Source organism: Homo sapiens, chromosome 2 (genome assembly GCF_000001405.40).
Source record: "Homo sapiens chromosome 2, GRCh38.p14 Primary Assembly".
NCBI lineage: Eukaryota > Metazoa > Chordata > Mammalia > Primates > Hominidae > Homo > Homo sapiens.
Genome location: NC_000002.12, coordinates 97542466 through 97569672, shown reverse-complemented (window position 1 = coordinate 97569672; position 27207 = coordinate 97542466). Strand labels below are relative to the sequence as shown.

At 35.8% G+C, this 27207-nt stretch overlaps 1 protein-coding gene across 26 annotated transcripts in view; it reads left to right on the top strand.

Moving 5' to 3' along the window:
- Positions 1–27207, top strand: part of ANKRD36B (ankyrin repeat domain 36B) — a 97215-nt gene that overhangs the window by 20205 nt on the left and 49803 nt on the right. For 17 of the 26 annotated variants that reach the window (XR_007078917.1, XM_047445328.1, XM_047445321.1 and 14 more), the window contains 20 exons: positions 8813–8841; positions 8936–9008; positions 10679–10707; positions 10802–10874; positions 12541–12569; positions 12664–12736; positions 14419–14447; positions 14541–14613; positions 16302–16330; positions 16433–16505; positions 18193–18221; positions 18312–18384; positions 20059–20087; positions 20182–20254; positions 21942–21970; positions 22065–22137; positions 23812–23840; positions 23935–24007; positions 25688–25716; positions 25811–25883. Coding sequence is in view for 25 of the 26 variants with exons in the window: in XM_047445328.1 (XP_047301284.1) it covers positions 8813–8841; positions 8936–9008; positions 10679–10707; positions 10802–10874; positions 12541–12569; positions 12664–12736; positions 14419–14447; positions 14541–14613; positions 16302–16330; positions 16433–16505; positions 18193–18221; positions 18312–18384; positions 20059–20087; positions 20182–20254; positions 21942–21970; positions 22065–22137; positions 23812–23840; positions 23935–24007; positions 25688–25716; positions 25811–25883 (1020 nt within the window). In the remaining variant the exon portion in view is untranslated. The other 9 variants (XM_047445330.1, XM_047445329.1, XM_047445337.1 and 6 more) reach the window with 8 other exon arrangements.

Genomic DNA, 27207 nt, shown 5'->3' with positions numbered 1-27207 from the left:
ATTTTTCACATACGCCATCCCCCCTCACGTTCATAGCTCCCCCCATTTTCAACATCTCCCACCTGAGTGGTACATTTGTTACAACTGAGAAGCTTACATTGATGCATCATAATCATCCAAAGTCCATAGTTTATATTTAAGTTCCCTCTTGGTATTGTACCTTCTATAAAGCTGGACAAATGTATAATAAATGTACCCGCCATTAGAATACTTACACTGCCCTGAAATTTGTCTCTTTTTTTATTCCTCCCTCACAATTAACCCCTGTCAACTACTAATATTTTTGCTGTCCCCATAGTTTTGATATGTCCAGCATAGTCATATATTAAGGATAACATAGTGGATATCTTTTTCAATATTACAAAACATAATTTCCAAGATAATTGAATGTATTCAATTAAGCTATCCATTGTGCTTTTTTGCTTTTAGTTTATTAATGTAGGATTTAATGGCATATGCTTTACATGTTGAAAAAGCATAATTTATATAGACATTTGCCACATAATGGGGAGGGTTGAGGAAAATGACTTCATGCTGTGTACTACACAGCACTAACTGGATCATCCTTTTCTGTGAGATGGGTCCAGATAGACTAGCAGTGGAAAGGGACAATCTCAAGAGGTTGTACTTTATAAAACTGGAGTCAGAAAGTCTTTCCTATTTACCTTGCAGTTGGAAATAGACCAGCTAGTGAATACTATAGGCATACAAATATGTTTCTTATTCACCTTCTTTCTTTGAGCGATCACTTTGAAAACAGTCTATATTATTATAACATGACTCACTTATAACTAGGTTCTCCATCATGAAAAATGCCAAGAGAGTCATACTATTTTTGTTTACATATAGTGACAAAGATTTGTTGTTGTTGTTGTTGTTTTTCCCACTAGGTAGTGAGACAACTGTTGGCACATCTTGGTAGCTCCAGTGAGTTTATGGTTCCTTTATATATATTTTATATATTAGAAAGTACTCCCTGGCAACTTGCCATACCATTCCCAGTATTTCTTTATAAGCTTCTCTCTGACAAGGAAACAACACTCAGATTGGATAAGCTGTTAAGGGAGTGATATTTTCTCTGTTTGTGTTTTTTTGAAGGAGCTAAAAATGAAAGCTGAATTTAAGGATTGTTTGTACCTTACATAGGGTGAATGAATAGCTAGAACTAAGCAAACTTACCAGAATCTTCCCTAGGAGAGGATTAGTGAGAGTAAGGACACTGATCTCTCTTAGGCTCTTCTGCATTGGCAGCTGAAAAGTCTTTGCAGGGATCCTTGACCCTACTCTGTATCCTGTGTTTTGCCATAGAATAGAGTACAGTTTTCATAGACCTAGATTTTTTGAATTAGAGTGCTTTATCCTAAATAGTTTAAACTGAAGAGGTGGAGAAACTGTTGTGTTTCAACAAAATAAGTACAGTAATTTCCTCTTACACATGGGGGATACATTTCAAGACCCTTAGTGAATGCCTGAAAACATGAATAGTGCTGAACTCTATGTGTACAATAATTTTTAAAAATACATATATATCTATAATAAAATTTAATGCATAAATTAGGCACAATAAGAGATTAATAATATCTAATGGTAAAGTAGATCAATTGTAACAATATACTGTAATAAAAGTTATGTGAATGTGAGCTCACAAAATATCATGTACTATAGTCACCCTACTTTCTGCACTGATGTGAGATGATAAAATGGCTATGTGATAAGTGAGGCAAATGCAGTAGGCATTGCCATGTAGTCTTAGGCTACTATTGACCTTCTATTTGACTATATATCAGAAAGAAGATCATCTGCTTCACGTGATCTTGGATCCGTGAACCATGATGATATTGTTGGTTGGATGTTAGGTACAGATTTATGTCAATGACTAGTGAGCAGATATCATATATAATGTGTATGCACTTGACAAAGGGACGATTCACATCTTGGGCAGACTGGGATGTAAGGGCTCAAATTTTGTCATACTACTCAGAATCTTAGGCAATTTAAACCTTATGATGTGTATACATAAATTTTATTTATGGACCATGGTTGACCATGGGTAACTGAATCTGCAGTCAATAAAACCACCAATGTCATATTATGAAATATATATTTGGTCTTCAACCCCATTTTCTGTCATACAACTCCTAAAATCCTCAGAATTTCCAACATGATATCATTTGTATGCTAATGATTGACTTATGACAGGCAGCCTCCAGATGGCTTCAGGGTGGGGCTCATCATCATAGTGATCAGGGTGTGATTAGAGGGTTGGGACTTCCAGCCCCACCCCTCACCTCCTGGGATGTGAGAGGGGCTGAATGTTCAATTAATCAGTCATGCCTATGTAATGAAGCTTTCATAAAATCCCAAAAGGATTGGATTTGGAGAGCATCCAGGTAGCTGTATTCAGCTACCTGGATGCTCTCCAATACATGAAGGCATATGGAGAATACATGGATGTTCCCAGAGGGTGAGTGCCCTGGGAGGACATGGAAGCATGTTACTTTCCCCCCGTATCTTGCACTATGCATCTCTTTATCTGTATCCTTTAATATTCTTTATAAAAAACTGGTAAATGTGTTTCCATGAGTTCTCTGAGCCACTCTAGTAAATTAATCAAACCAAAGAGGGGGTCCTGGGAAACCCAACTTGAAGTCCAACTGGAAGTTGATTAGAAGTTCTGGAGGCCCAGACTTGTAACTGCTGTGGGGGAATAGCCTGTGGTACTGAGCCCTCAACCTGTGGGATCTGACACAATCCCCAAGTAGATAGTGCCAGAATTACAGGGCACCCATAGGAATTGATTGTTTGCTTGTTGCTGGGGAAAAATACATATTTGGTCACAGAAATCTTCTGTGCTGATGATTGTTGTTGCGGTGTGAGAGAAGAGGAACATCATGTTGAATATGTGTTTTCTACACATACAGCAGATAAGGGGGACTGCTGTTCTAGCTGCACCTGGTTCATTTGTCCAGAAATCATGTTCTTTGACAATGCCTACTCATTATATTGATTCTACTAATGATGCCATTTTCTGTCAGTCTGATATAATTCTGTTAGAATTATGACTATTTTATACTGCAATTCACATGTAAGATAAACCAAATTTTGATAATATATTCTTCTTTGCATTTGATAAGTACATGCTAAGCACGTAAGAAAGGAAATAAGAGTTCTTAATTCATTAGTTGCCTACAAATAGTATAAATAATAATTTTAGTATAGCCTCCAAGTATGTTTCTAAAGAACTGCTTTGTAACAAATCATGAGAGTCTCTGTAATAAAGCATCAAAGTCTTATACTTTTTTTCCTATAAGGTCTAAGGCATGTACAAAAGTTCATGATTTTTTTTTCTTTTGAGATGAAGTCTCACTTTGTCACCCAGGCTGGAGTGGAATGGCACAATCTCGGCTCACTGCAACCTCTGCCTCCTGAGTTTGAGCGATTCTCCTGTCTCAGCCTCCCGAGTAGCTGGGATTACATACGTGTGCCACCGCACTCAGCTAATTTTTTTTTTTTGTATTTTTGTTGAGATGGGGTTTCACCATGTTTGGCCAGGCTGGTCTCAAACTTTTGACCTCGTGTGATCCACCCGCCTTGGCCTCCCAAAATGCTGAGATCACAGCCATGAGCCACTGTGCCCAGCCTGTATGATTTTTTTTTAATAAAGAGTCTTGCTATGTTGCCCAGTCTGTTCTCAAACTCCTGGGCTTCTCAAGTGATACTTCTGCCTCAGCCTTCTGAGTAGCTGAGATTATAGGAACAAGCCACTGTACATATATATATATACACACACACACACACACACACACACCCCGAGTATATGCCCAGTAATGAGATTACTGGCTCAAATGGTATTTCCGGTTCTAGATCCTTGAGGAATCACCACACTGTCTTCCACAATGGTTGAACTAATTGACACTCCCACCAACAGTGTAAAAGCATTCCTATTTCTCCACATCTGCTCCAGCATCTGTTGTTTCCTGACCTTTTAACGATTGCCTTTCTAAATGGCATGAGATGTTATCTCATTGTGGTTTTGATTTGCATTTCTCTAATGATCAGTGATGATGAGCTTTTTTTCAGATGTTTGTTGGCTGCATAAATGTATTCTTTTGAGAAGTGTCTGTTCATATCCTTTGCCCACTTTTTGATGAGATTGTTTGTTCTTTTCTTGTAAATTTATTTAAGTTCCTTGTAGATTCTAGATATTAGGCCTTTTTCAGGTGGACAGATTGCAAACATTTCCTCCCATTCTGTAGGTTGCCTGTTCACTCTGATCATAGTATTGGAAGTTCTGGCCAGGGTAATCAGGCAAGAGAAAGAAATAAACGGTATTCAAATAGGAAGAAAGGAAGTCAAATTGTCTCTGTTTGCAGATGACATAATTGTATATTTAGAAAACCAAATTGTCTCAGCCCCAAATCTCCTTCAGCTGATAAGCAACTTCCTCATAGTCTCAGGATACAAAGTCAATGTGCAAAATTCACAAGCATTCCTATACACCAGTAATAGAGTGCTAAATCATGAGTGAAATCCGATACACAATTGCTACAAAGAGAATAAAATAACAAGGAATACAACTCACAAGGGATTTGAAGGACCTCTTTAAGGAGAACTACAAACCACCACTCAAGGAAATAAGAGACAAACAAATGGAAAAACATTCCATGCTCATGGTTAGGAAGAATCAATATCTTGAAAATGGCCATACTGCCCAAAGTAATTTGTAGGTTCAATGCTATACCCATCAAGCTACCATTGACTTTCTTCACAGAATTAGAAAAAACTACTTTAAATTTCATATGGAACCAAAAAAAGAGCCCATATAGCCAAGACAATCCTAAGCAAAAAGAACAAAGCTGGAGGCATCATGCTACCTGATTCAAACTATACTACAAGGCTACAGTAATGAAAACAGCATGGTACTGGTACCAAAAGAGATATATAGACCAATGGAACAGAACAGAGGCCTCAGAAATAATGCCATACACCTACACCATCTGATCTTTGACAAACCTGACAAAAGCAATGGGGAAAGGATTCCCTATTTAATAAATGGTGTTGGGAAAACTGGCTAGCCTTATGCAGGAAACTGAGACTGGACCCCTTCCTTACACTTTATACAAAAATTAACTCAAGGTGCATTAAAGACTTAAAATTAAGTTCTCAATGTATAAAAACCCTGGATGAAAACCTAGGCAGTACCATTCAGGACATAGGCATGGGCAAATACTTCATGACTAAAACACCAAAAGCAATGTCAACAAAAGCCAAAATTGACAAATGGGATCTAATTAAACTAAAGAACTTGTGTGCAGTTTTATTTGGGAGTGTGTGTGGGGTACCTCTGAGTTTTAAAAATGAAGAAAGTAAGTAGTCATGCTATCCTGACTCTTTGGTAGACATAGCCTTTAAGACAGTCATTCTGAGCTGTTATGGTCTTAGGGTTCTCTATACTACTAAAACTTATTGACGACATGTAACCAAGAACTTGAATTAAATTTTTTTTTAAAAAAAGCAAAAGAAATCACCCAAATGCACATTAAAAACCTCTTACAACATATGTGCATATTCCTAGATAACATGTAGAACTTGATTTTGTGTATTAAAACCTTGTAGAAAAGTTCAGACAGTGCACAAAATGACTGCAACTTGGTCTTTGTAAAATCAGTGATATATATTTCAGATCTATCCATGTTGACCCAGTGAGGTATTTGATTTATTGTATGATCTAATGATATGCCATGTGATGATGGCAGCATATTTAATTATGCTCTCTTCATGTTGATACCATATGGACATAAATATGGTGACATACCAGCATGGATATGCTTATGTGGTTGCTTTTATTGATTTGTATTATATTAGAAATGAAACAGAAGTATTGGAAATCCTAGCAAGCATAGCTGCATCTCTCCCATGGCTATGTTGATTGCAACTGTTTCCCCCTTAAAGCATGTCTTTTTGACATGTCATGACCCTGAGAAAATCCAGTGTGTGCTTTTCAGAGAATGACAGTAAGGAGAGGAAATGGCCGATGGTCAAAGTGTTACTTGTCCTCTTGGCTCCCCTTCATGAATGTTAAACTCTAAACTACTCAGATCACAATTTAGAACCCCTTTGTTGATCCCTATAGAGTGTTCCCAGATGTCAAATGGCAAATAGGACTTTGATGAAGAAACACCCCGTAAAGCCATATTGCTCTGGTTTTTGTGTGTGAATGTGTGTGTGTGTGTGTGTGTGTATTTTTTTCTCTTCTGAAAACTGTAAATAGAGGAATTTTCATTACAAGTGAAAATATTTGTGTTCCATATTTATTTCCTGTCTAACGTACTTTGCTCTTCTTGGATCTAGTAAGGATCTCAGCTTGTCTTTTTTATACCTGCAAAAAATTATGTCAGTGCTTCATTTTTCATGTCAATTACTGACATGTTTTCAAGTCTTCACAAGTTATTTCTGAAGATTTTGGTGCATCAAGGAGAGACTGTCATTGTAGTTAAATAAGTTTTTAAATAGGTTATATTCAATAAAATTTCAGAGCTTATTTCTCTGGAAAGCATAAACATAGTGGTGCTATGGGTAGTTAAACATAAAATAGCTCCACAAAGTGTTGTGTACATAAAAGTGTTCATATCCTGGAAAATCCTAGTTTATTGCTCAGTACTGTCTGCTGGAGAGGAAAACAGGTAAGATAGGCTGCTGAGCCTATGATAATAACTCATAATATGAGGTGAAAGCATAGCGACAAAATAAGAGATGATAGATACTCAAACCGATGTGAGTGAAGAACAGCTGTGAAAGAGTGTCTATGGGAGAGAGGAGGCCATGGGGCTGCTTTTGTGAAGAAGGAATTTGTACACATTAGTCAAGTGTCTGACACATTTAACATTTTAATAAAGCAAAACCTTATCTTCACATGTGTCAGAATGGGACTGTACAGATGTCACATACAGTGGTGGTGAAAATAATGAAGAAATGAATGTGGAGGTCAAAGAATCAAGTCCACCAATATGGATATTAGATTTATGAACGAAAAAAATGTATGTCAAATTGGGCAGGTGTAAACAAAGAAAGCAGCTAGTGAGGTAATTTGGAAGTTTCTGATGAGGAGACTTGTGGGAAGTCACTTAATGGAAAGCAGAAGCAGAAGTTACAAGGATGAGGGTAACCCACAGGGTCTCATTTCTTCTCCCTAGAAGTTTTGGACATCAATGATACATGCTTCGTTCACATCAGATTTTTGTTTTTTGTTTTTGTTTTTGGAAAGCTGTGTTTGCTGAGGTAGTTATTTTGTAAAAGAACCTGAGAGACCCTGATGGTATATCATGTGAAACTAGATTTTAAAAAAAAGGAATCAAAGAATGCATTTTTAGAGTACTAAACAGATAACTGCCAATAATCATGACAATCATGACATATGTATATATATGTATTATGTCATATTGGTTGGTTATTTATAAGAAAAGAAGTCTCTAGTGATTTAGAAACTTTGTTTAGTTTATTTTCATAGGAATCTGATTACACAGTATTTCATTGATGTGTATGTTTTTGCAAAAGTGGACGAAGAGACAGTGAGAAGGTAGAACTGCTGAATCCAGGAAATGTAAAAACATCAGGAGTCTTCATGAGTATAAATAAAATGATTTTTTAAATTATAACTCTTAGATTAAGTGAACTCACTTCAGATGCATTTAGAATATTTGCATGAGGGATGATTTGATTTTTGGCTGCTCCAGGAACTACTGGAAGCAGGAAAGAGTGATAGAATTGGGATAAGCCACAGTGACTCATTGCTCCTCTTTGTTACCATTGGGCACCAGAGGTATATGTTTTGTTGATATTGGTTATTCAAATGAGATAAATGTGAATATGCATACATTGGCTTTGTTTTTCAAGGAGCTATTGGATAAAATAGCAACTTAATAAAAATTCTCTAGAGAATAACATGATACTTTAACCAGACTATTTTAGAAGTGAAAATAATGTTGAATTCATTACTTGACTCCCAAATGGTTATTTTCAAGGAATATTGGAGTGATTTCCAGATGTAAAAGCTTATTCATATCTAATGCTTGTAGAAACTTTATTTTGTAAAAGTATGTCAAATTTGGTAATTTATTACACTTTTTGATGAAGTTTATATATTATACCTTGTTGCAATGAGTGGATGAAGGAACTTTTGGAAGGCTAAACTAGAAGATACAAGAGATGTAGGCACATTATTACACCATATGGGTGTGAGAAATAATGAATATTACATACTAGAATTCACCAAACATATATCCAAGCTGATTAAGTTAGGACACTTCCACTGAAGAGATTTCAACTAAAGTGTCATTATAATTGTGTACCTTCTCACTGATCAATCAAGTTAAAAAGCATGATGAATGTTTGCAGTAAAATATTCCAAATCATTCTGATATCTTGCATGAAAGACATGTGGGTGCATGTATCACCTGCTTTGACGCTGATTCCCAGGTGTATGAGTTGGACTCTGATTTTAGATCACATTTGTCCTCATCACTCAGCATATCCACATTGATATTGACATGGTTTTATTTTAGTTTTAGACATATGGAGAAAGTCATATCACATTTGAAATTGTCAGTGTATATTTCTTGAAGCCTGTATTCCTATTTTCTTCAGTGTATTTCCTTCATGTTTAGTCCCAAGAAACAAAGTATAAAATATCAAAGCCTACAGTAATACAGGCAGGAGTACAAAACTTGATGCTAACATGCTATCCATGCATTAATGTATGGATAACATTATCATATTTACATATGATTGATTATGTATCCCTTTTGCTTTTCAGTGTCTCCTCAGAAACAACGAGCTGAGAAGGTAATTAAAGTCTCATTTATATGTTGAACTATTAACTGTATAGTCTATGAAACCTACTTTACATATTGATTATTTTGTTTCAAATCCCATTCAGGCTACAAGTGACGACAAAGATTCTGTTTCAAATATAGCCACAGAAATAAAGGAGGGACCTATATCTGGGACAGGTAATTTTGCAAAACACATCTAATGTCATGTTCAATCAAGATAGAAGAGAAATTCCCTTCCCCAAATAAATCAGTGGGGAGTTCATATAAGCTGCACGTTCTGATTCAGTACACCTGAGATTCTTCATTTGTAGTGAGTTCTCAGGTGACTCTGATACTGCTGGTCCTTGGTCATGATCTGAGTAGTAAGATTGTAGGCTTCCTTACATTGAAATTGGGAAGAAGAAACATTGGAGAGCAGTTCAACACATACCAGGCTAAGGGAGCAGCATAATTTTACTTTAATTTTACAGCATGTTTCCATCAAGAGGGGAAAGAGAATGAGATGAAGTAATAGATATTATAGGCATCATATCATATTGTTATCAACAGAGGGAAAAGTGATCCTAATAACTCCATAAACACTGTAGAATGAGAGCTAAGAAGACCACTGATGCAGCAATTATTTTCCTCAAGGAAGAGGGATTGTGAGGCAGGAAGGAGGAAAAAGAAGAAGGTATTTATGTAATTTTGGGTTTTCTGCTGAGGAAACCTGAGTGAACTCATTTCAGATGCATTTGGAATATTTGCATAAAAGAAGATTTGATTTTGGCTGCTCTGAGAACTACTGGAAGCAGGAAACAGTGCTAGAATTGGGATAAACCACAGTGACTCATTACTCCTCTTTGTTACTATTAGGCATCAGAGATACATGTTTTGTTGACTTTACTTATAAAAATGAGATAAACTTGCATATGAATACATTGGCTTCCTTGTTCAAGGAGCTTACTCTTGGATAAAATAGCTACTTAATGAAACTTCCTTAGAGACTAACATGATACTCCCAGCAAGGCTATTTTAGAAACAAAAATGATGTTGAATTCTAATTAACTCCTAAAGTGGTGATTTTCAATGAATATTGGAGTGATTTCTGAATGTAAAACTTATTAATATCTAATGCTTGTAGCAGTTTTACTTTGTAGAAGTATGTTAACATTGGTAATTGATATTTTTATTGAGGCTAATACATTATCGTTTGTTGCCATGAGTGGATGAAGAAACTTTCAGAAAGCTAAACTAGTGGATACAAGAAACTTAGGCAAATTATTATACCACATGGGTGTGAGAAATAATGAATATTATCTACTAGATCTCAGGAAACATATATCCAAGGTGATCAATTTAGGACATTTCCACCGAAGAGACGTGAAGTGTACATTTAACTGAATTGTCATCGTAATTGTGTACCTTCTAGTTATTGGGCAAGTTAAAGGGCATAATGAACATCTGTAGTATAATGGTGTAAATCCTTCTGATTTCTTGCAAGAAAGACATGAGGGATCATGTACCACCTGCTTTGACATTGATTCTCAGGTGTGTGAGTTACTCCTCTGATTTGTCCTCATCACTCGGCATATCCACATTGATATTGACACGGTTTTATTTTAGTTTTAGATGTATCACGAATCATACCATGTTTGAAATTGTAAGGGTATATTTTGTGAAGCCTGTATTCCTTTTTTTTCAGTGTATTTCTGTCATGTTCCAGTCTCCAGACAAAAAGTAGAAAACATCAAAGCCTACACTAGTACAGGCAGGAAGATACAGCTTGATGCTAACACTGCATGGAATGTATGGATAAATTTATCATATGTACATGTGAGTGATTATGTTTCCCTTTTGCTTTTCAGTGTCTTCTCAGAAACAACCAGCTGAGAAGGTAATTAAAGTCTCATTTATATGTTGAACTATTAACCGTATAGTCTATGAAACCTACTTTACATATTGATTATTTTGTTTCAAATCCCATTCAGGCTACAAGTGACGAGAAAGATTCTGTTTCAAATATAGCCACAGAAATAAAGGAGGGACAACAATCTGGGACAGGTAATTTTGCAAAACACATTTAATGTCATGTTCAGTCAAGATAGAAAAGTACTTCTCTTCCCCGAATAAATCAGCGGGGGATTCATTGAAGCTGCACATTCTGATTCAGCAGGCCTGAGATTCCTCAGTTCTCAGGTGACACTGATGCTGCTGGTCTTCGACATGATCTTTGCAGTAAGATTATAGACTTCCTCACATTGAAATTGGGAAGAAGAAACGTTGGAGAGCCATTAAAGACATAAGGAGTCAGGGGACAGCATAATTTTGCATTAATTCTACAGCATGTTTTCACCAAGGGAGGAAGGAGAAAGAGATGAAGTATAGATTTTACAGACATCACATCGTATTGCTAAAAACAGATGGAGAAATTATGGTAATAGCCCATAAACACTGTAGAACGAGAGCTAAGGAGACCACTGATGTAGCAATGACTTTCCTCAAGGAAGAGGATTATCAGGCAGGAAGGAGGGAAAATAAGAAGTTATTTATGTAATTTTGGGGTTTCTTCTGAGGAAACCTGAGTTCAGTTGCATATTCGAACATTTTTGTAAAAGAAGCTTTGATTTTGGCTGCTTTAGGAAACAGTGGAAGCAGGAAGGAGTACTAGAACTGGGATAAACCACAGTGACTCATTACTCCTCTTTGTTACTGTTGGGCATCAGAGATATACGTTTTGTTGATATTAGTTATTCAAATGAGATAAACATGAATATGCGTATATTGGCTTTGCTTTTCAATTAGCTAACTTTTGGATAAAAATAGCAATTTAATGAAAATGCTTTAGAGAATAACATGATATTTTATACCAGACTATTTTAGAAAAAAAAATAATGGTGAATTCATTAATTGACTTTTAAAATTCTTATTTTCAATGAATATTGGAGGGATTTCCAAATGTCAAAGGTTATTCATATCTAATGCTTGTAGCAACTTTATTTTGTATAAGTATGTCAAATTTGATCATTTATTATACTTTTTGATAAGGTTTATGTATTATATTTGTTGCCACGAGTGGATGAAGAACCTTTCTGTAGCCTAAACTAGAGGACACAACAAATGTAGGCACATTATTACACCACATGGGTTTGAGAAATAAAGAATATTATATACAGGATTATCCCAACCTATATCCAAGCTGTTGAAGCTGGGCCACTTCCACCGAGGACTTGTGAAGTGTACATTCTACTAAAGTGTCATTGTCATTGTGTACCTGCTCAATTACCAGGCAAGTTAAAGAGCGTGATGAATACTTGCAGCATAATGGTATAAATCCCTCTGATGTCTTGCATGAAAAACATGCAGTAGCATTTAGTACCTTCTTTGACATTGATTCCTGGGTGTATGAGTTGCTCCTCTGATTTTAGATCACATTTCTTTTCATCATTCAGCATATCCACATTGATATTGACACTTTTTATTTCAGTAATACACACATGATGCATAATACCTCTTTGTAATTTCTGACTGTATATTTTCTGGAAGCGTGTATTCCTATTTTCTTCAGTGTATTTCCTCATGTTCCCGTCCCAAAGACACAAACTGTAAAACATCAAATCCTACACTAGTGCAGGCGGGAGGATACAGCTTGATGCTAACACTGCATGAATGTATGGACGACTTTGTCATATTTACATATGATGAATTATATATTTCTTTTACTTTTCAGTGTCTCCTCAGAAACAATCGGCCCAGAAGGTAGTTACTCTTTCATTTATATTTTGAATTATTTATTGCATAGCCTATGAAATATATATTATGTATTGACTATTTTGTTTCTCTTTCCATTCAGGTTATATTTAAAAAGAAAGTTTCTCTTTTGAATATTGCCACAAGAATAATGGGCGGTGGGAAATCTGGAACAGGTAATTTGGCAATACACATTTAATGTCATGTGCACTCAAGACAGAAGAGAACGTCCCACCCCTGAATAGATCAGTGGGGTGTCATTGAAAATGCACTTTCTGATTCAGCAGGCCTGAGATTGTGCATTTCTAGTAAGTTGTCAGGTGGTGCTGATGCTGCTGGTCCTTGGTCATGATCTTAGTAACAAGCTTATAGAGTTCCCTACATTGAAATTGGATAGAAGAACCATTGGAAAACAGTTGAAGACATAAGAGGATCAGGGGACAGCATAATTTTTCTCTTATTTCAGAGCATGTTTCTATGGAGAGGGGAAGGAGAAAGAGAAGAAGTAACAGAAATTATAGATGTCAGATGGTACTGCTAAAACCAGAGGGAGGAAGTTGTCATAATAACCCGTAGACACTGGAGAATGAGAAACAAAGTGACCACTGATGTAGTAACTATTTTCATCAAGAAAGAGGGATTGCAAGGCAAGAAAGAGGGGAAGGAAGAAGTTATTTCTGTAATTTTGGGGTTTCTGCTGAGGAAACCTGAGTGAACTCACCTCAGATGCATTTAGAATGTTTGCATACCAGAAGATTTGATTTCTGACTGCTCCGATGACTACCGGAATCAGGAAGGAGTGCTAGAGTTGGGATAAACCACAGTGCCTCATTCCTGTTTATTAGTATCAGACATCAGACATATATTTTTTATTAGTTATTCAAATGAGTTAAAATTTAATATGACTATATTAGCTTTTTTCCAAAGCTTTTTTCCAAAGCATTTTCCGAATGCTTTTTCATTAAAATAGCTATTTAGTGAAAATTCTTTATAATACAATGATATTCCAGAGTAGACTAATTTTGCAGACAAAAATAATGTTAAATGTATTAATTGAATCCTAAAATGGTTATTTTCAATGAATATTGGACTGATAGCCAAATGTAAAAGCTTATTAATATCTAATGCCAGGAGCCATTGCATTTTGTATAAATATGTGTAATTTATTGTACTTTTAGATGAGGTTTATATATTATACCTTCCTGCCATTAGTGGATGAAGAAAATTTCTGAAGGCTAAACTAGAGGATACAAGAAATGTAGGCAGATTATTACACCACATGGGTATTATAAATAATGAATACTATCTACTAGGATTCACCAACCATATATCCAAGCTGATCAATTTAGGTCCCTTCCACTTAAGAGACGTGAAGTGTACATTCATCTGAAGTGTCATTGTAATTGTGTACTTTCTCAGTTATCAGGCAAGCTAAAGAGCATGATGAATGTTTGTAGTATACTAGTGTAAATCCTTTTGATACCTTGCATGAAAGACATGGAGGATCATGTAGCACCTGCTTTGACATTGATTCTCAGGTGTATGAGTTGCTCCTCTGATTTTAGATCACATTTGTCCTCATCATTCGGCATATTCACATTGATACTAACACTGTTTCATTTTAGTTTTAGACATATGAAAAATCATACCATGATTGACATTGTAAGGGTTTGTTTTGTGAAACCTGTATTTCTTTTTTTTCAGTGTATTTCTGTCATGTTCCAGTCCCCAGACACAAAAATCAAAGCCTATACTAATACAGGCAGGAAGATACAGCTTGATGCTAACATTTCATGAATGTATGGATAACTTTATCATATTTACATATGAGTGATTATGTATCCCTTTTGCTTTTCAGTGTCTTCTCAGAAACAACCAGCCTCAAAGGTAATTAAATTCTCATTTATATTTTGTATTAGTAACTGTATAGTCCATGAAACATACTTTCTTTATTGATAATTTGCTTCAAATTACTTTCAGACTGCAAGTGACAAGACAGATTCTGCTTTGAATACAGCTACAGAAATAAAGGATGGACTACAATGTGGGACAGGTAATTTTGCAAAACACATTTAATGTCATGTTCAGTCCAGATAGAAAAGAACTTCTCTTCCCCAAATAAATCAGTGGGGGGGCTCATCAAAGCTGCACATTCTGATTCAGCAGGCCAGAGATTCTTCATCTGTAATAAGTTCTCGGGTGATGCTGATGCTGCTGGTCTTGGACATGATCTTCACAGTAAGATTATAGACTTCCCCACATTGAAATTGGGAAGAAGAAACATTGGAGAGCAGATCAAGACATAAGGGGCTCAGGGGACAGCATAATTTTGCTTTAATTCTACAGCATGTTTTCACCAAGGGTGGAAGGAGAATGAGTTGAAGTATAGATTTTACAAACGTCACATCGTATTGATAAAAACAGACGGAAAACTGATCGTAATAACCAGTAAAAATTGTAGAACGAGAACTAACGAGACCACTGATGTAGCAATTATTTTCCTCAAGGAAGAGGGTTGTGAGGCAGGAAGGAGGGAAAAGATGAAGTTATTTATGTAATTTTGGGGTTTCTGCTGAGGAGACCTGAGTGAACTCACTTCGGATGCATTTAGCATATTTACACAAAAAAGATTTGATTTTGGCAGCTCCAGGAACTACTGGATGAAGCAAAGAAAGCTAGAATTGGGATAAACCACATTGACAAATTACTTCTCTTTGCTACTATTAGGCATAAGATATATATCTTTTGTTGATTTTTGTTATAAAAATTAGATAAACTTGAATATCAATACATTGGCTTCTTTCATCAAAGAGCTATCTCATGGATAAAATAGCTATTTAATGAATATTATTTAGAGAATAGTATGATCCTCCTAACAAGACAATTTTAAAAACAAATATAATGTTGAGTTCATCAACTGACTCTTAAAATGGTCATTTTCAATGAATATTGGAGTGATTTCCAAATATAAAAGCTTATTAATATCCAATGCTTTTAGCAGTTTTATTTAGTAGAAGTATGTCAAAATTGATAATTGATGATGCTTTTTATTGAGGTTTATATATTATACTTTGTTGCCATGAGTGGATGAAGAAATGTCCGGGAAGGCTAAACTAGAGAATACAGGAAACTTAGGCAAATTGTTGCACCACATGGATATGAGAAATAATGAATATTATTTACTCGGATTCAGGAAACATATATCCAAGCTGATCAATTTAGGACACTTCACTGAAGAGACAGAGACATGACGTGTACATTCAACTGAAGTGTCACTGTAATTGTGTACCTTCTCAGTTACTGGGCAAGTTAATGAAGATGATGAATGTTTGCAGTATAATGGTGTAAATCATTTGGATATCTTGCATAAAAGACATGTGGGTGCATGTGCCACCTGCTTTGACATTTTCCCAGGTGATTGAGTTTCCTCTCTGATTTTTGATCGCATTTGTCATGATCACTTGGCATACCCTTTTTGATATTGACACTGATTTATTTTTCTTTTAGATATACGAGAAATCATATTATGTTTGAAATAGTTAGGAATGTATCGTGACACATCTATTTCTGTTTTCTTTAGTATATTTGTGTCATGCTCCTGGCTTAAGACATAAAGTAGAAAACATCAAAGCCTACACTAATACAGGCAGGCGGATACAGCTTGATGCTAACACCGCATGAATGTATGGAAAATGTATCATATTTACATATGAGTGATTATGTATCCCTTTTGCTTTTCAGTGTCTTCTCAGAAACAACAAGCCTTGAAGGTAATTGAACTCTCATTTATGTTGTGAACTAGTAAATCTATAGTCTATGAAACATACTTCATTTATTTATTTATTTATTATTTTCTTTCAAATTCCATTCAGGCTACAACTGACGAGGAAGGTTCTGTTTCTAATATAGCCACAGAAATAAAGGATGGAGAAAAATCTGGGACAGGTAATTTTGCAAAACACATTCAATGTCATGTTCAATCCAGATAGAAACGAACTTCTCTACCCCTAATAAATCAGCGCAGGGCGGGTGGGGGGCTCGCTGAAGCTGCACATTCTGATCCAGCAGGTCTGAGAGTCTTCATTTGTAATAAATTATTGGGTGACGCTAATGCTGCTGGCTTGGAACGTGATCTTCGCAGTAAGATTATACACTTCCCCACATTGAAATTGGGAAGAAGAAATATTGGAGAGAGGTTCAAGACATAAGGGGCTCTGGGGAGCAGCATAGTTTTGCTTTAATTCTACAGCATGGTTTCACTAAGGGTGGAAGGAGAAAGAGAGGAAGTATAGATTTTACAGACGTCACATCGTACTGCGAAGAAAAGACAGAAAACTGATAGTAATAACCCATAAACACTGTAGAATGAGAACTAAGGAGACCCCTGATGTAGCAATTATTTTCCCAAGGACGAGGGATTGTCAGGCAGGAAGGAGGGAAGAGAAGTTATTTATATAATTTAGGGTTTTCTGCTGAGGAAATCTGAGTGAACTCACTTCACATGCATTTGGAATATGTCCTTAAAAAATATTAGATTTTGGCAGCTCCAGGAACTATTGGAAGCAGGAAACAATGCTAGAATTGGGATAAAGCACACTGACTCATTACTCCTTTTTGTTACTATTAGGCATCAGAGATACATGTTTTGTTGATTTTAGTTATAGAAATGAGATAAACTTGAATATGAATACATTGGCTTCCTTGTTGAAGGAGCTACCTCTTGGATAAAATAGCTATTTCACGAAACATCTTTACAGACTAACATGATACTCCCAAGAAGGCTATTTTAGAAACAAAAATTATGTTGAATTCTAACTAACTCCTAAAATGGTCATTTTCAATGAATATTGCAGTGATTTCTGAATGAAAAAGTGATTAATATCTAATGCTTGTAGCAGATTTATTTGTAGAAGTATGTCAAAATTGATAATAGATGATATTTTTATTGAGGCTAGTATATTATCCTTTGGTGTCACGACTGGATGAAGAAATTTTCAGAGGGATAAACTAGTGGATACAAGATACTTAGGCAAATTATTACACCACATGGGTGTGAGAGATAATGAATATTATCTACTAGGTATCAGCAACCAGATATCCAAGGTGATTAATTTAGGACATTACCAGTGAAGAGATGTGAAGTGTACGTTCAACTGAAGTGTCATCATAATTGTGTGCTTTCTTAGATATTGGGCAAGTTAAAGAGCATGATGCATGTTTGTATTATAATGGTGTAAATCCTTTTGATTTGTTGCATGAAAGACATGTGGGATCATGTAGCACCTGCTTTGACATTCATTCTCAGGTGTATGAGTTTCTCCTCTGATTTTAGATCACATTTGTCCTCATCACTCGGCATATGGACATTGATGTTGACAACCTTTGATTTTAGTTTTCGACGTATGAGAAATCATACCATGTTTGAAATTGCAGGGGTATATTTCACGGAGCCTGTGTTTCCTTTTCTCAGTGTATTTCTGTCATGTTCTAATCCCCAGACACAAAGTAGAAGCCATCAAAACCTACGCTAATACAGGCAGGAGGACAGAGGTTGATACAAACACTGCATGAATGTATGGATAACTTTGTCATAGTTACATATGAGTGATTATGTATCCCTTTTGCTTTTCAGTGTCTTCTCAGAAAAAACCAGCCTTGAAGGTAATGAAACTCTCATTTATATTGTGAGCTAGTAAACGTATAGCCTATGAAACATACCTTATTTATTATTTTGTTTCAAATTCCATTCAGGCCACAAGTGATGAGAAAGATTCTTTTTCGAATATAACCAGAGAAAAAAAGGATGGAGAAATATCTAGGACAGGTAATTTTGCGAAACACATTTAATGTCATGTTCAGTCCAGATAAGAAGTTCTCTTCCCCGAATAAATCAGTGGGGGGCTGGTCGAAGCTGCACATTCTGACTCAGCAGGCCTGAGATTCTTCATTTCTAATAAGTTCTTGGGTTATGCTGATACTGCTGGTCTGGAATATGATCTTGGCTGTAAGATTATACACATCCCCACATTGCAACTGGGAGGAAGAAATATAGAGAGCAGTTGAAGACATAAGGGGCTCTGGGGCACAGCATAATTTTGCTTTAATTCTGTAGCATCTTTTCATTAAGGGTGTAAGGAGAAAGAGAGGAAGTACAGATTTTACAGACGTCACATCGTAGTGCTAAAAACAGACAGAAAACTGTTCATAATAACCCATAGACACTGTAGAAGGAGAACTGAGGAGACCCCTGATGTAGCAATTATTTTCTGAATGAAGACGGATTGTGAGGCAGGAATGTGGGAAAAGAGGAAGTCATTTATATAATTTTGGGGTTACTGCTGAGGAAACCTGAGTGAACTCACTTCAGATGCATTTGGAACATTTTCATAAACAATATTTGATTTTGGCAACTCCAGCAAGTGCTGGAAGCAGGAAACAGTGCTTGAATTGGCATAAAAACACAATGACTCATTACTCCTCTTTGTTACTATTAGGCATCAGAGATACATGTTTTGTTGATTTTAGTTATAGAAATGAGATAAACTTGAATATGAACACATTGGCTTCCTTGTTCAAGGAGCTACCTCTTGTATAAAATAGCTGTTTAATGAAACTTCTTTAGAAAATAACATGATACTCCCAACAAAGCTATTTTAGAGGCATAAATTATGTTGCATTCTAATTAAGTCCTAGAGTGATCATTGTCAAAGAATATTGGAATGATTTCTGAATGTAAAACATCAATATCTAATGCTTGTAGCAGTTTTACTTTGTAGAAATATGTCAAAATTGATAATTGATGATATTTTTATTGAGGCTAATATATTATCCTTTGGTGCCACGACTGGATGAAGAAACATTTGGAAGGCTAAACTAGTGGATACAAGAAACTTAGGCAGATTATTACACCATATGGGTGTGAGAGATAATGAATATTATCTACTTGGTATCAGCAAACAGGTGTCCAAGGTGATCAATTCAGGACTCTTCCACTGAAGAGATGTGAAGTGTAAGTTTAACTGAAGTATCATTGCAATTGTGTGCCTTCTCAGTTATTGGGCAATTTAAAGAGCATGATGAATGTTTGTAGTATAATGGTGTAAATCCTTTTGATTTGTTGCATGAAAGACATGTGGGATCATGTAGCACCTGCTTTGACATTGATTCTCAGGAGTGTGAGTTGCTCCTCTGATTTTAGATCACATTTGTTCTCATCACTTGGCCTATGCACATTGATATTGACACGGTTTTAGTTTAGTTTTTGACATATGAGAAATCATACCATGTTTGAAATTGTAAGGGTATATTTCATGGAGCCTGTATTCCCTTTTCTCAGTGCATTTCTGTCACGTTCTAGTCCGCAGACACAAAGTAGAAGCCATCAAAGCCTACGCTAATACAGGCAGGAGGACAGAGTTTGATGCTAACACTGCATGAATGTGTGGATATCTTTGTCATATTTACATATGAGTGATTATGAATCCCTTTTGCTTTTCAGTGTCTTCTCAGAAACCACCAGCCTTGAAGGTAATGAAACTCTCATTTATATTGTGAACTAGTTAATGTATGGTCTATGAAACATACTTTATTTATTTATTATTTCATTTCAAATTCCATTCAGGCTACAAGTGTCAAGGAAGATTCTGTTTTGAATATAGCCAGAGAAAAAAAGGATGGAGAAAAATCTAGGACAGGTAATTTTGAAAACAGATTTAATGTCATGTTCAGTCCAGATAGATAAGAAGTTCTCTTCCCCAAATAAATCAGCGGGGGGCTCGTCGAAGCTGCACTTTCTGATTCAGCAGGCCAGAGATTCTTCATTTGTAGTAAGTTCTTGAGTGATGCTGATGCTGATGCTGATGCTGCTGGTCTGGAACATGACCTTCGCTGTAAGATTATACACTTCCCCACATTGAAGTTGGGAAGAAGATATATGGAGAGCAGTTGAAGACATAAGGGGCTCTGGGGAAGAGCATAGTTTTGCTTTAATTCTACAGCTTGTTTTCAGTAAGGGTGGAAGGAGAAAGAGAGGAAGTATCGATTTTACAGACATCACATCATACTGCTAAAAACAGACAGCAAACTTGTTGTAATAACCCGTACACACTGTAGGAGAACTAAGGAGACCCCTGGTGTAGCAATCATTTTCCCAAGGAAGACGGATTGTGAGGCAGGAAGGTGTGAAAAGAGGAAGTCATTTATATAATTTTGGGGTTTGTGCTGAGGAAACCTGAGTGAACTCACTTCAGATGCATTTGGAATATTTTAATAAAAAATACTTGATTTTGGCTGCTGCAGGAACTGCTGGAAGAAGGAAACAATCCTAGAATTGGCATAAAAACACACTGAGTCATTACTCCTCTTTGTTACTATTAGGCATCAGAGATACATGTTTTGTTGATTTTAGTTATAGAAATGAGACAAACTTGAATATGAACACATTGGCTTCCTTGTTGAAGGAGCTACCTCTTGGATACAATAGCTATTTCATGAAACTTCTTTAGAGAACAACATGATACTCCCAACAAAGCTATTTTAGAAACAAAAATTATGCTGGATTCTAATTAACTCCTAAAATGGTCATTTTCAATGAATATTGCAGTGATTTCTGAAAGAGAAACTGATCAGTATCTAATGCTTGTAGCAGTTTTACTTTGTATAGGTATGTCAAAATTGATAATTGATGATATTTTTATTGAGGCTAATATATTATCCTTTGGTGCCACGACTGGATGAAGAAACTTTTGGAAGGCTAAACTAGTGGATACAAGAAACTTAGGCAGATTATTACACCATATGGGTGTGAGAGATAATGAATATTATCTACTTGGTATCAGCAAACAGGTGTCCAAGGTGATCAATTCAGGACTCTTCCACTGAAGAGATGTGAAGTGTAAGTTTAACTGAAGTATCATTGCAATTGTGTGCCTTCTCAGTTATTGGGCAATTTAAAGAGCATGATGAATGTTTGTAGTATAATGGTGTAAATCCTTTTGATTTGTTGCATGAAAGACATGTGGGATCATGTAGCACCTGCTTTCACGTTGATTCTCAGGTGTATGAGTTTCTCCTCTGATTTTAGATCACTTTGTCCTCATCACTCAGCATATCCACGTTGATATTGACACGGTTTTATTTTAGTTTTTGGCATATAACAAATCATACCCTGTTTGAAATTATAAGAGTATTTTTCATGGAGCCTGTATTCCCTTTTCTCAGCGTATTTCTGTCATGTTCTAGTCCCCAGACACAAAGTAGAAGCCATCAAAGCCTATGCTAATACAGGCAGGAAGACAGAGGTTGATGCTAACACTGCGTGAATGTGTGGATAATTTTGTCATTTTTACATATGAGTGATTATGAATCCCTTTTACTTTTCAGTGTCTTTTGAGCAACCACCAGGCTTGAAGGTAATGAAACTGTCATTTATATTGTGAACTAGTAAATGTATAGTCTATGAAACATACTTTATTAATTTATTATTTCATTTCAAATTCCATTCAGGCTACAAGAGACGAGAAAGATTCTCTTTTGAATATAGCCAGAGGAAAAAAAGATGGAGAAAAAACTAGGAGAGGTAATTTTGAAAAGAGATTTAATGTCATGTTCAGTCCGGGTAGATAAGAAATTCTCTTCCCTGAATAAATCTGCGGGGGGCTCGTTGAAGCTGCACATTCTGATTCAGCAGTCCTGAGATTCTTCATTTCAAATAAGTTCGTGGGTGATAGTGTTGCTGCTGGTCTGGAACATGATCTTCGCAGTAAGGTTATACACTTCCCCACATTGAAATTGGGAAGAAGAAATATGGTGAGCAGTTCAAGGCATAAGGGGCTCTGGGGAACAACATAATTTTGCTTTAATTCTCCAGCTTGTTTTCAGTAAGGGTGGAAGGAGAAAGAGAGGAAGTATAGAATTTACACACTTCAGATCATACTGCCAAGAAAAGACAGAAAGCTTGTTGTAACAACCCGTAGACACTGTAGGAGAACTAAGGAGACCCCTGGTGTAGCAACTATTTTCCTAAAGAAGATGGATTGTGAGGCAGGAAGGCTGAAAAAGAGGAATTCTTTTATATAATTTTCTGGTTTCTTCTGAGGAAACCTGAGTGAACTCACTTCAGATGCATTTGGAATATTTTCATAAAAGTTATTTGATTTTGGCTGCTCCAGGAACTACTGGAAGCAGGAAACAATGGTGTAATTGGAATACACCACACTGACTCATTACTCCTCTTTGTTACTAGGAGGCATCAGAGATACATATTTTGTTGATTATAGTTATAAAAATGCGATAATCTTGAATATGAATAAATTTGCTTCCTTGTTCAAGGGGCTACCTCTTGGATGAAATAGCTATTTCATGAAACTTCTTTCGAGAATAACATGGTCCTCCCAAAAAGTCTATTTTAGAAACAAAAATGATGTTGAATTCTAACTAACTCCTAAAATTATAATTTTCAATGAATATTGCAGTGATTTCTGAATGAAAAACTGATTAATATCTAATGCTTGTAGCAGTTTTACTTTGAAGAAATATGTCATAGTTGATAATTGATGATATCTTTATTGAGGCTAATATATTATCCTTTGGTGCCAAGAGTGGATGAAGAAATTTTCAGAAGTCTAAACTAGTGGATACAAGAAACTTAGGCAAATTATTGCACCACGTGCGTGTGAGAGATAATGAATGTTATCTACTAGGTATCAGCAAGCAGATATCCAAGGTGATCAATTTAGGACACTTCCACTGAAGGGATGTGAAGTGTACGTTCAACTGAAATGTCGTCGTAATTCTGTGCCTTCTCAGTTATCGGGCAAATTAAAGAGCATGATGAATGTTTGTAGTATAATGGTGTAAATCCTTTTGATTTCTTACATGAAAGACATGTGGGATCATGTAGCACCTGCTTTGACATTGATTCTCACGTGTATGAGTTGCTCCTCTGATTTTAGATCACTTTGTCCTCATCACTCGGCATATCGACATTGATATTGACAGGGCTTTATTTTAGTTTTCGACATATGACAAATCATACCATGTTTGAAATTGTAAGGATATATTTCATGGAGCCTGTATTCCCTTTTTTCAGTGTATTTCTGTCATGTTCTTGTCCCCAGACACAAAGTAGAAGCCATCAAAGCCTACACTATTACAGGCAGGAGGACAGAGGTTGATGCTAACACTGTATGAATGTATGGATAACTTTATCATATTTATGTATGAGTGATTATGTATCCCTTTTGCTTTTCAGTGTCTTCTCATAAACAACCATCCTTGAAGGTAATTAAACTCTCTTTTGTATTTTGAACTATTAACTGTATAGTCTATGAAATATACTTTATTTATTGACTGTTCTGTTTCAAATTCCATTCAGGCTACAAGTGACAAGGAAGATTCTGTTCCGAATATGGCCACAGAAACAAAGGATGAACAAATATCTGGGACAGGTAATTTTGCAAACACATTTAATATGATGTTCGTTCAAGATAGAAGAGATCTTCTCTTCACCAAATAAAGCAGCGGGGGGTTCGTCAAATCTTCATGTTCTGATTTAGTATTCCTGAGATTATTCATTTGTAATAAGTTCTCGGGTGACCCTGATGCTGTGGTCCTTGTCCATGCTGAAAGTACTAAGATTTTAGATGTCTGTACTTTGAAATTGGGAAAAAGAACCATCTGACAGCAATTCAACACATAACAGGCTCAGGGGACAGCATCATTTTGCTTTAATTCTACAGCATGTTTCCATCAAGAGGGGAAAGAGAAAGAGATGAAATAATAGATATTAGAGGTGTCAGATTGTATTGGGATAAACAGAGGGAAAAGTGATCCTAATACCACAAAAACACTGTAGAATGACAAGTAACAAGACCAGTGATGTAGCAATTATTTTCCTCAAGGAATAGGGATTGTGAGTCAGGAAGGAGAGAAAAGAAGAAGTTATTTATGTAATTTGGGATTTCTGCTGAGGAAACCTCAGTGAACTCACTTCAATACATTTGGAACATTTGCATAAAAGAAGACTTGATTTTGGCAGCTCCAGGCACTACTGGAAGCAGGAAACTATGCTAGAATTGGGATAAACCACAGTGACTCATTACTCCTCTTTAGGAGTAATTTACTATTAGGCATCAGAGATACATGTTTTGTTGATTTTAGTTATAAAACTGAGATAAATGAATATGAATACATTGGCTTCAAAGTTCAAGGAGCTAAGTCTTGGATAAAATAGCTATTGAATGAAACTTCTTTAGAGAATAGCATGATACTCCAAAAAAGACTTTTTAGAAACAAAAATTATGTTGAATTCTAATTAACTCCTAAAGTGGTCCTTTCAATGAATATTTGATTGATTTCTGAATGTTAAACTTATTAATATCTAATGCTTGTAGCAGTTTTACTTTGTAGAAGTACGTCAACATTGGTAATTGATGATATTTTTATTGAGGCTAATATATTATCCTTTGGTGCCATGAGTGGATGAAGAAACTTTCAGAAGGCTAAATGAGTGGATACAAGAAACTTAGGCAAATTATTACACCACAGGGGTGTGAGAAATAATGAATATTAGCTACTAGGTTTCAGCAAACATAATCCAAGCTGATCAATTTAGGACACTTCCACTGAAGAGACGTGAAGTGTACGTTCAACTGAAGTGTCATTGTAATTGTGTGCCTTCTCAGTTATTGGGCAAGTTAAAGAGCATGATGAATGTTTGTACTATAATGGTGTAAATCCTTGTGATTTCTTGCATGAAAGACATGTGGCATCATGTAGAACCTGCTTTGACATTGATTCTCAATTGTATGAGTTGCTCCTCTGATTTTAGATCACATTTGTCCTCATCACTTGGCATATCCACATTGATATTGACACGGTTTTATTTTAGTTTTAGACATATGACAAATCATGCCATGTTTGAAATTGTAAGTATATTTTGTGAAGCCTGTATTCACCTTTTTCAGTGTATTTCTGTCATATTCCAGTCCCGAGTCACAAAGTAGAAAACATCAAAGCCTATACTAATACAGGCAGGAAGATACATCTTGATGCCAACAGTGCAGGAATGTATGGATAACTTTATCATATTTACATATGAGTGATTATGTATCCCTTTTGCTTTTCAGTGTCTTGTCAGAAACAACCAGCCTTGAAGGTAATTAAACTCTCATTTATATTGTGAACTATTAACTGTGTGGTCTATGAAACATAGTTTATGTATTGATTATTTTGTTTCAAATTCCATTCAGGCTACAAGTGACAAGAAAGATTCTGTTTCGAATATACCCACAGAAATAAAGGATGGACAACAATCTGGAACAGGTAATTTTGCAAAACACATTTAATGTCATGTTCAGTCCAGATAGAAAAGTACTTCTCTTCCCCGAACAAATCAGTGTGGGGCTCATCAAAACTGCACATTCTGATTCAGCAGGCCTGACATTCTTCATTTTTAATAAGTTCTTGGGTGACGCTGATGCTGCTGGTCTTGGACATGATCTTTGCAGTAAGATTATATAGACTTCCCCACATTGAAATTGGGAAGAAGAAATATGGAGAGCAGTTCAAGACATAAGGGGCTCAGGGGAACAGCATAATTTTGCTTTAATTCTACAGCATGTTTTCAATAAGGGTAGAAGGAGAAAGACATGAAGTATATATTTTACAGATGTCACATCATACTGCTATAAAAAAGACAGAATAGTGATCCTAATAACCTGTAGACACTGTAGAATGAGAACTAAGGAGACCACTGATATAGCAATGATTTTTCCCAAGGAAGAGGGATTGTGAGGCAGGAAGGAGGGAAAAGAAGAAGTTATTTATGTAATTTTGGGGTTTCTGCTGAGGAAACCTGAGTGGACTCACTTCAGAGGCATTTAGCATATTTGCATAAAGAAGATTTGATTTTGGCAGCTGCTGGAACTACTGGGTGCAGGAGATAATGCTAGAATTGGGATAAACTTCATTTACTAATTACTCTTCTTTGTTACTGTTAGGTATCAGACTTACACGTTTTGTTGATTTTAGTTATAGAAATTAGATAAACTTGAATATGAATACATTGGCTTCATTGATCAAAGAGCTGACTCTTGGATAAAATAGGTATTTAATGAATATTCTTTAGAGAATAGCATGATACTCCTAACAAGACTATTTTAGAAACAAAAATAATGTTGAATTCAACAACTGACTCCTAAAATGGTAATTTTCAATGAATATTGGAGTGATTTCCAAGTGTAAAAGCTTATTAATATCCAATACTTGTAGCAGTTTTATTTAGTAGAATTATGTCAAAATTGATAATTGATGATGCTTTTTATTGAGGTTATATATTATACTTTGTTGCCACGAGTGGATGAAGAAATGTTCAAAAGGCTAAACTAGAGAATACAAGAAGCTTAGGCAAATTATTACAGCACATGGGTGTGAGAAATAATGAATTATTTACTTGGATTCAGGAAACATACATCCACGTTGATCGATTTAGGTCCCTTCCACTTAAGAGATGTGAAGTGTACGTTCAAGTGAAGTGTCATTGTAATTGTGTACCTTCTCAGTTATTGGGCAAGTTAAAGAGCATGTTGAATGTTTGCAGTATAATGGTTTAATCATTCGGATATCTTGCATGAAAGTCATGCGGGTG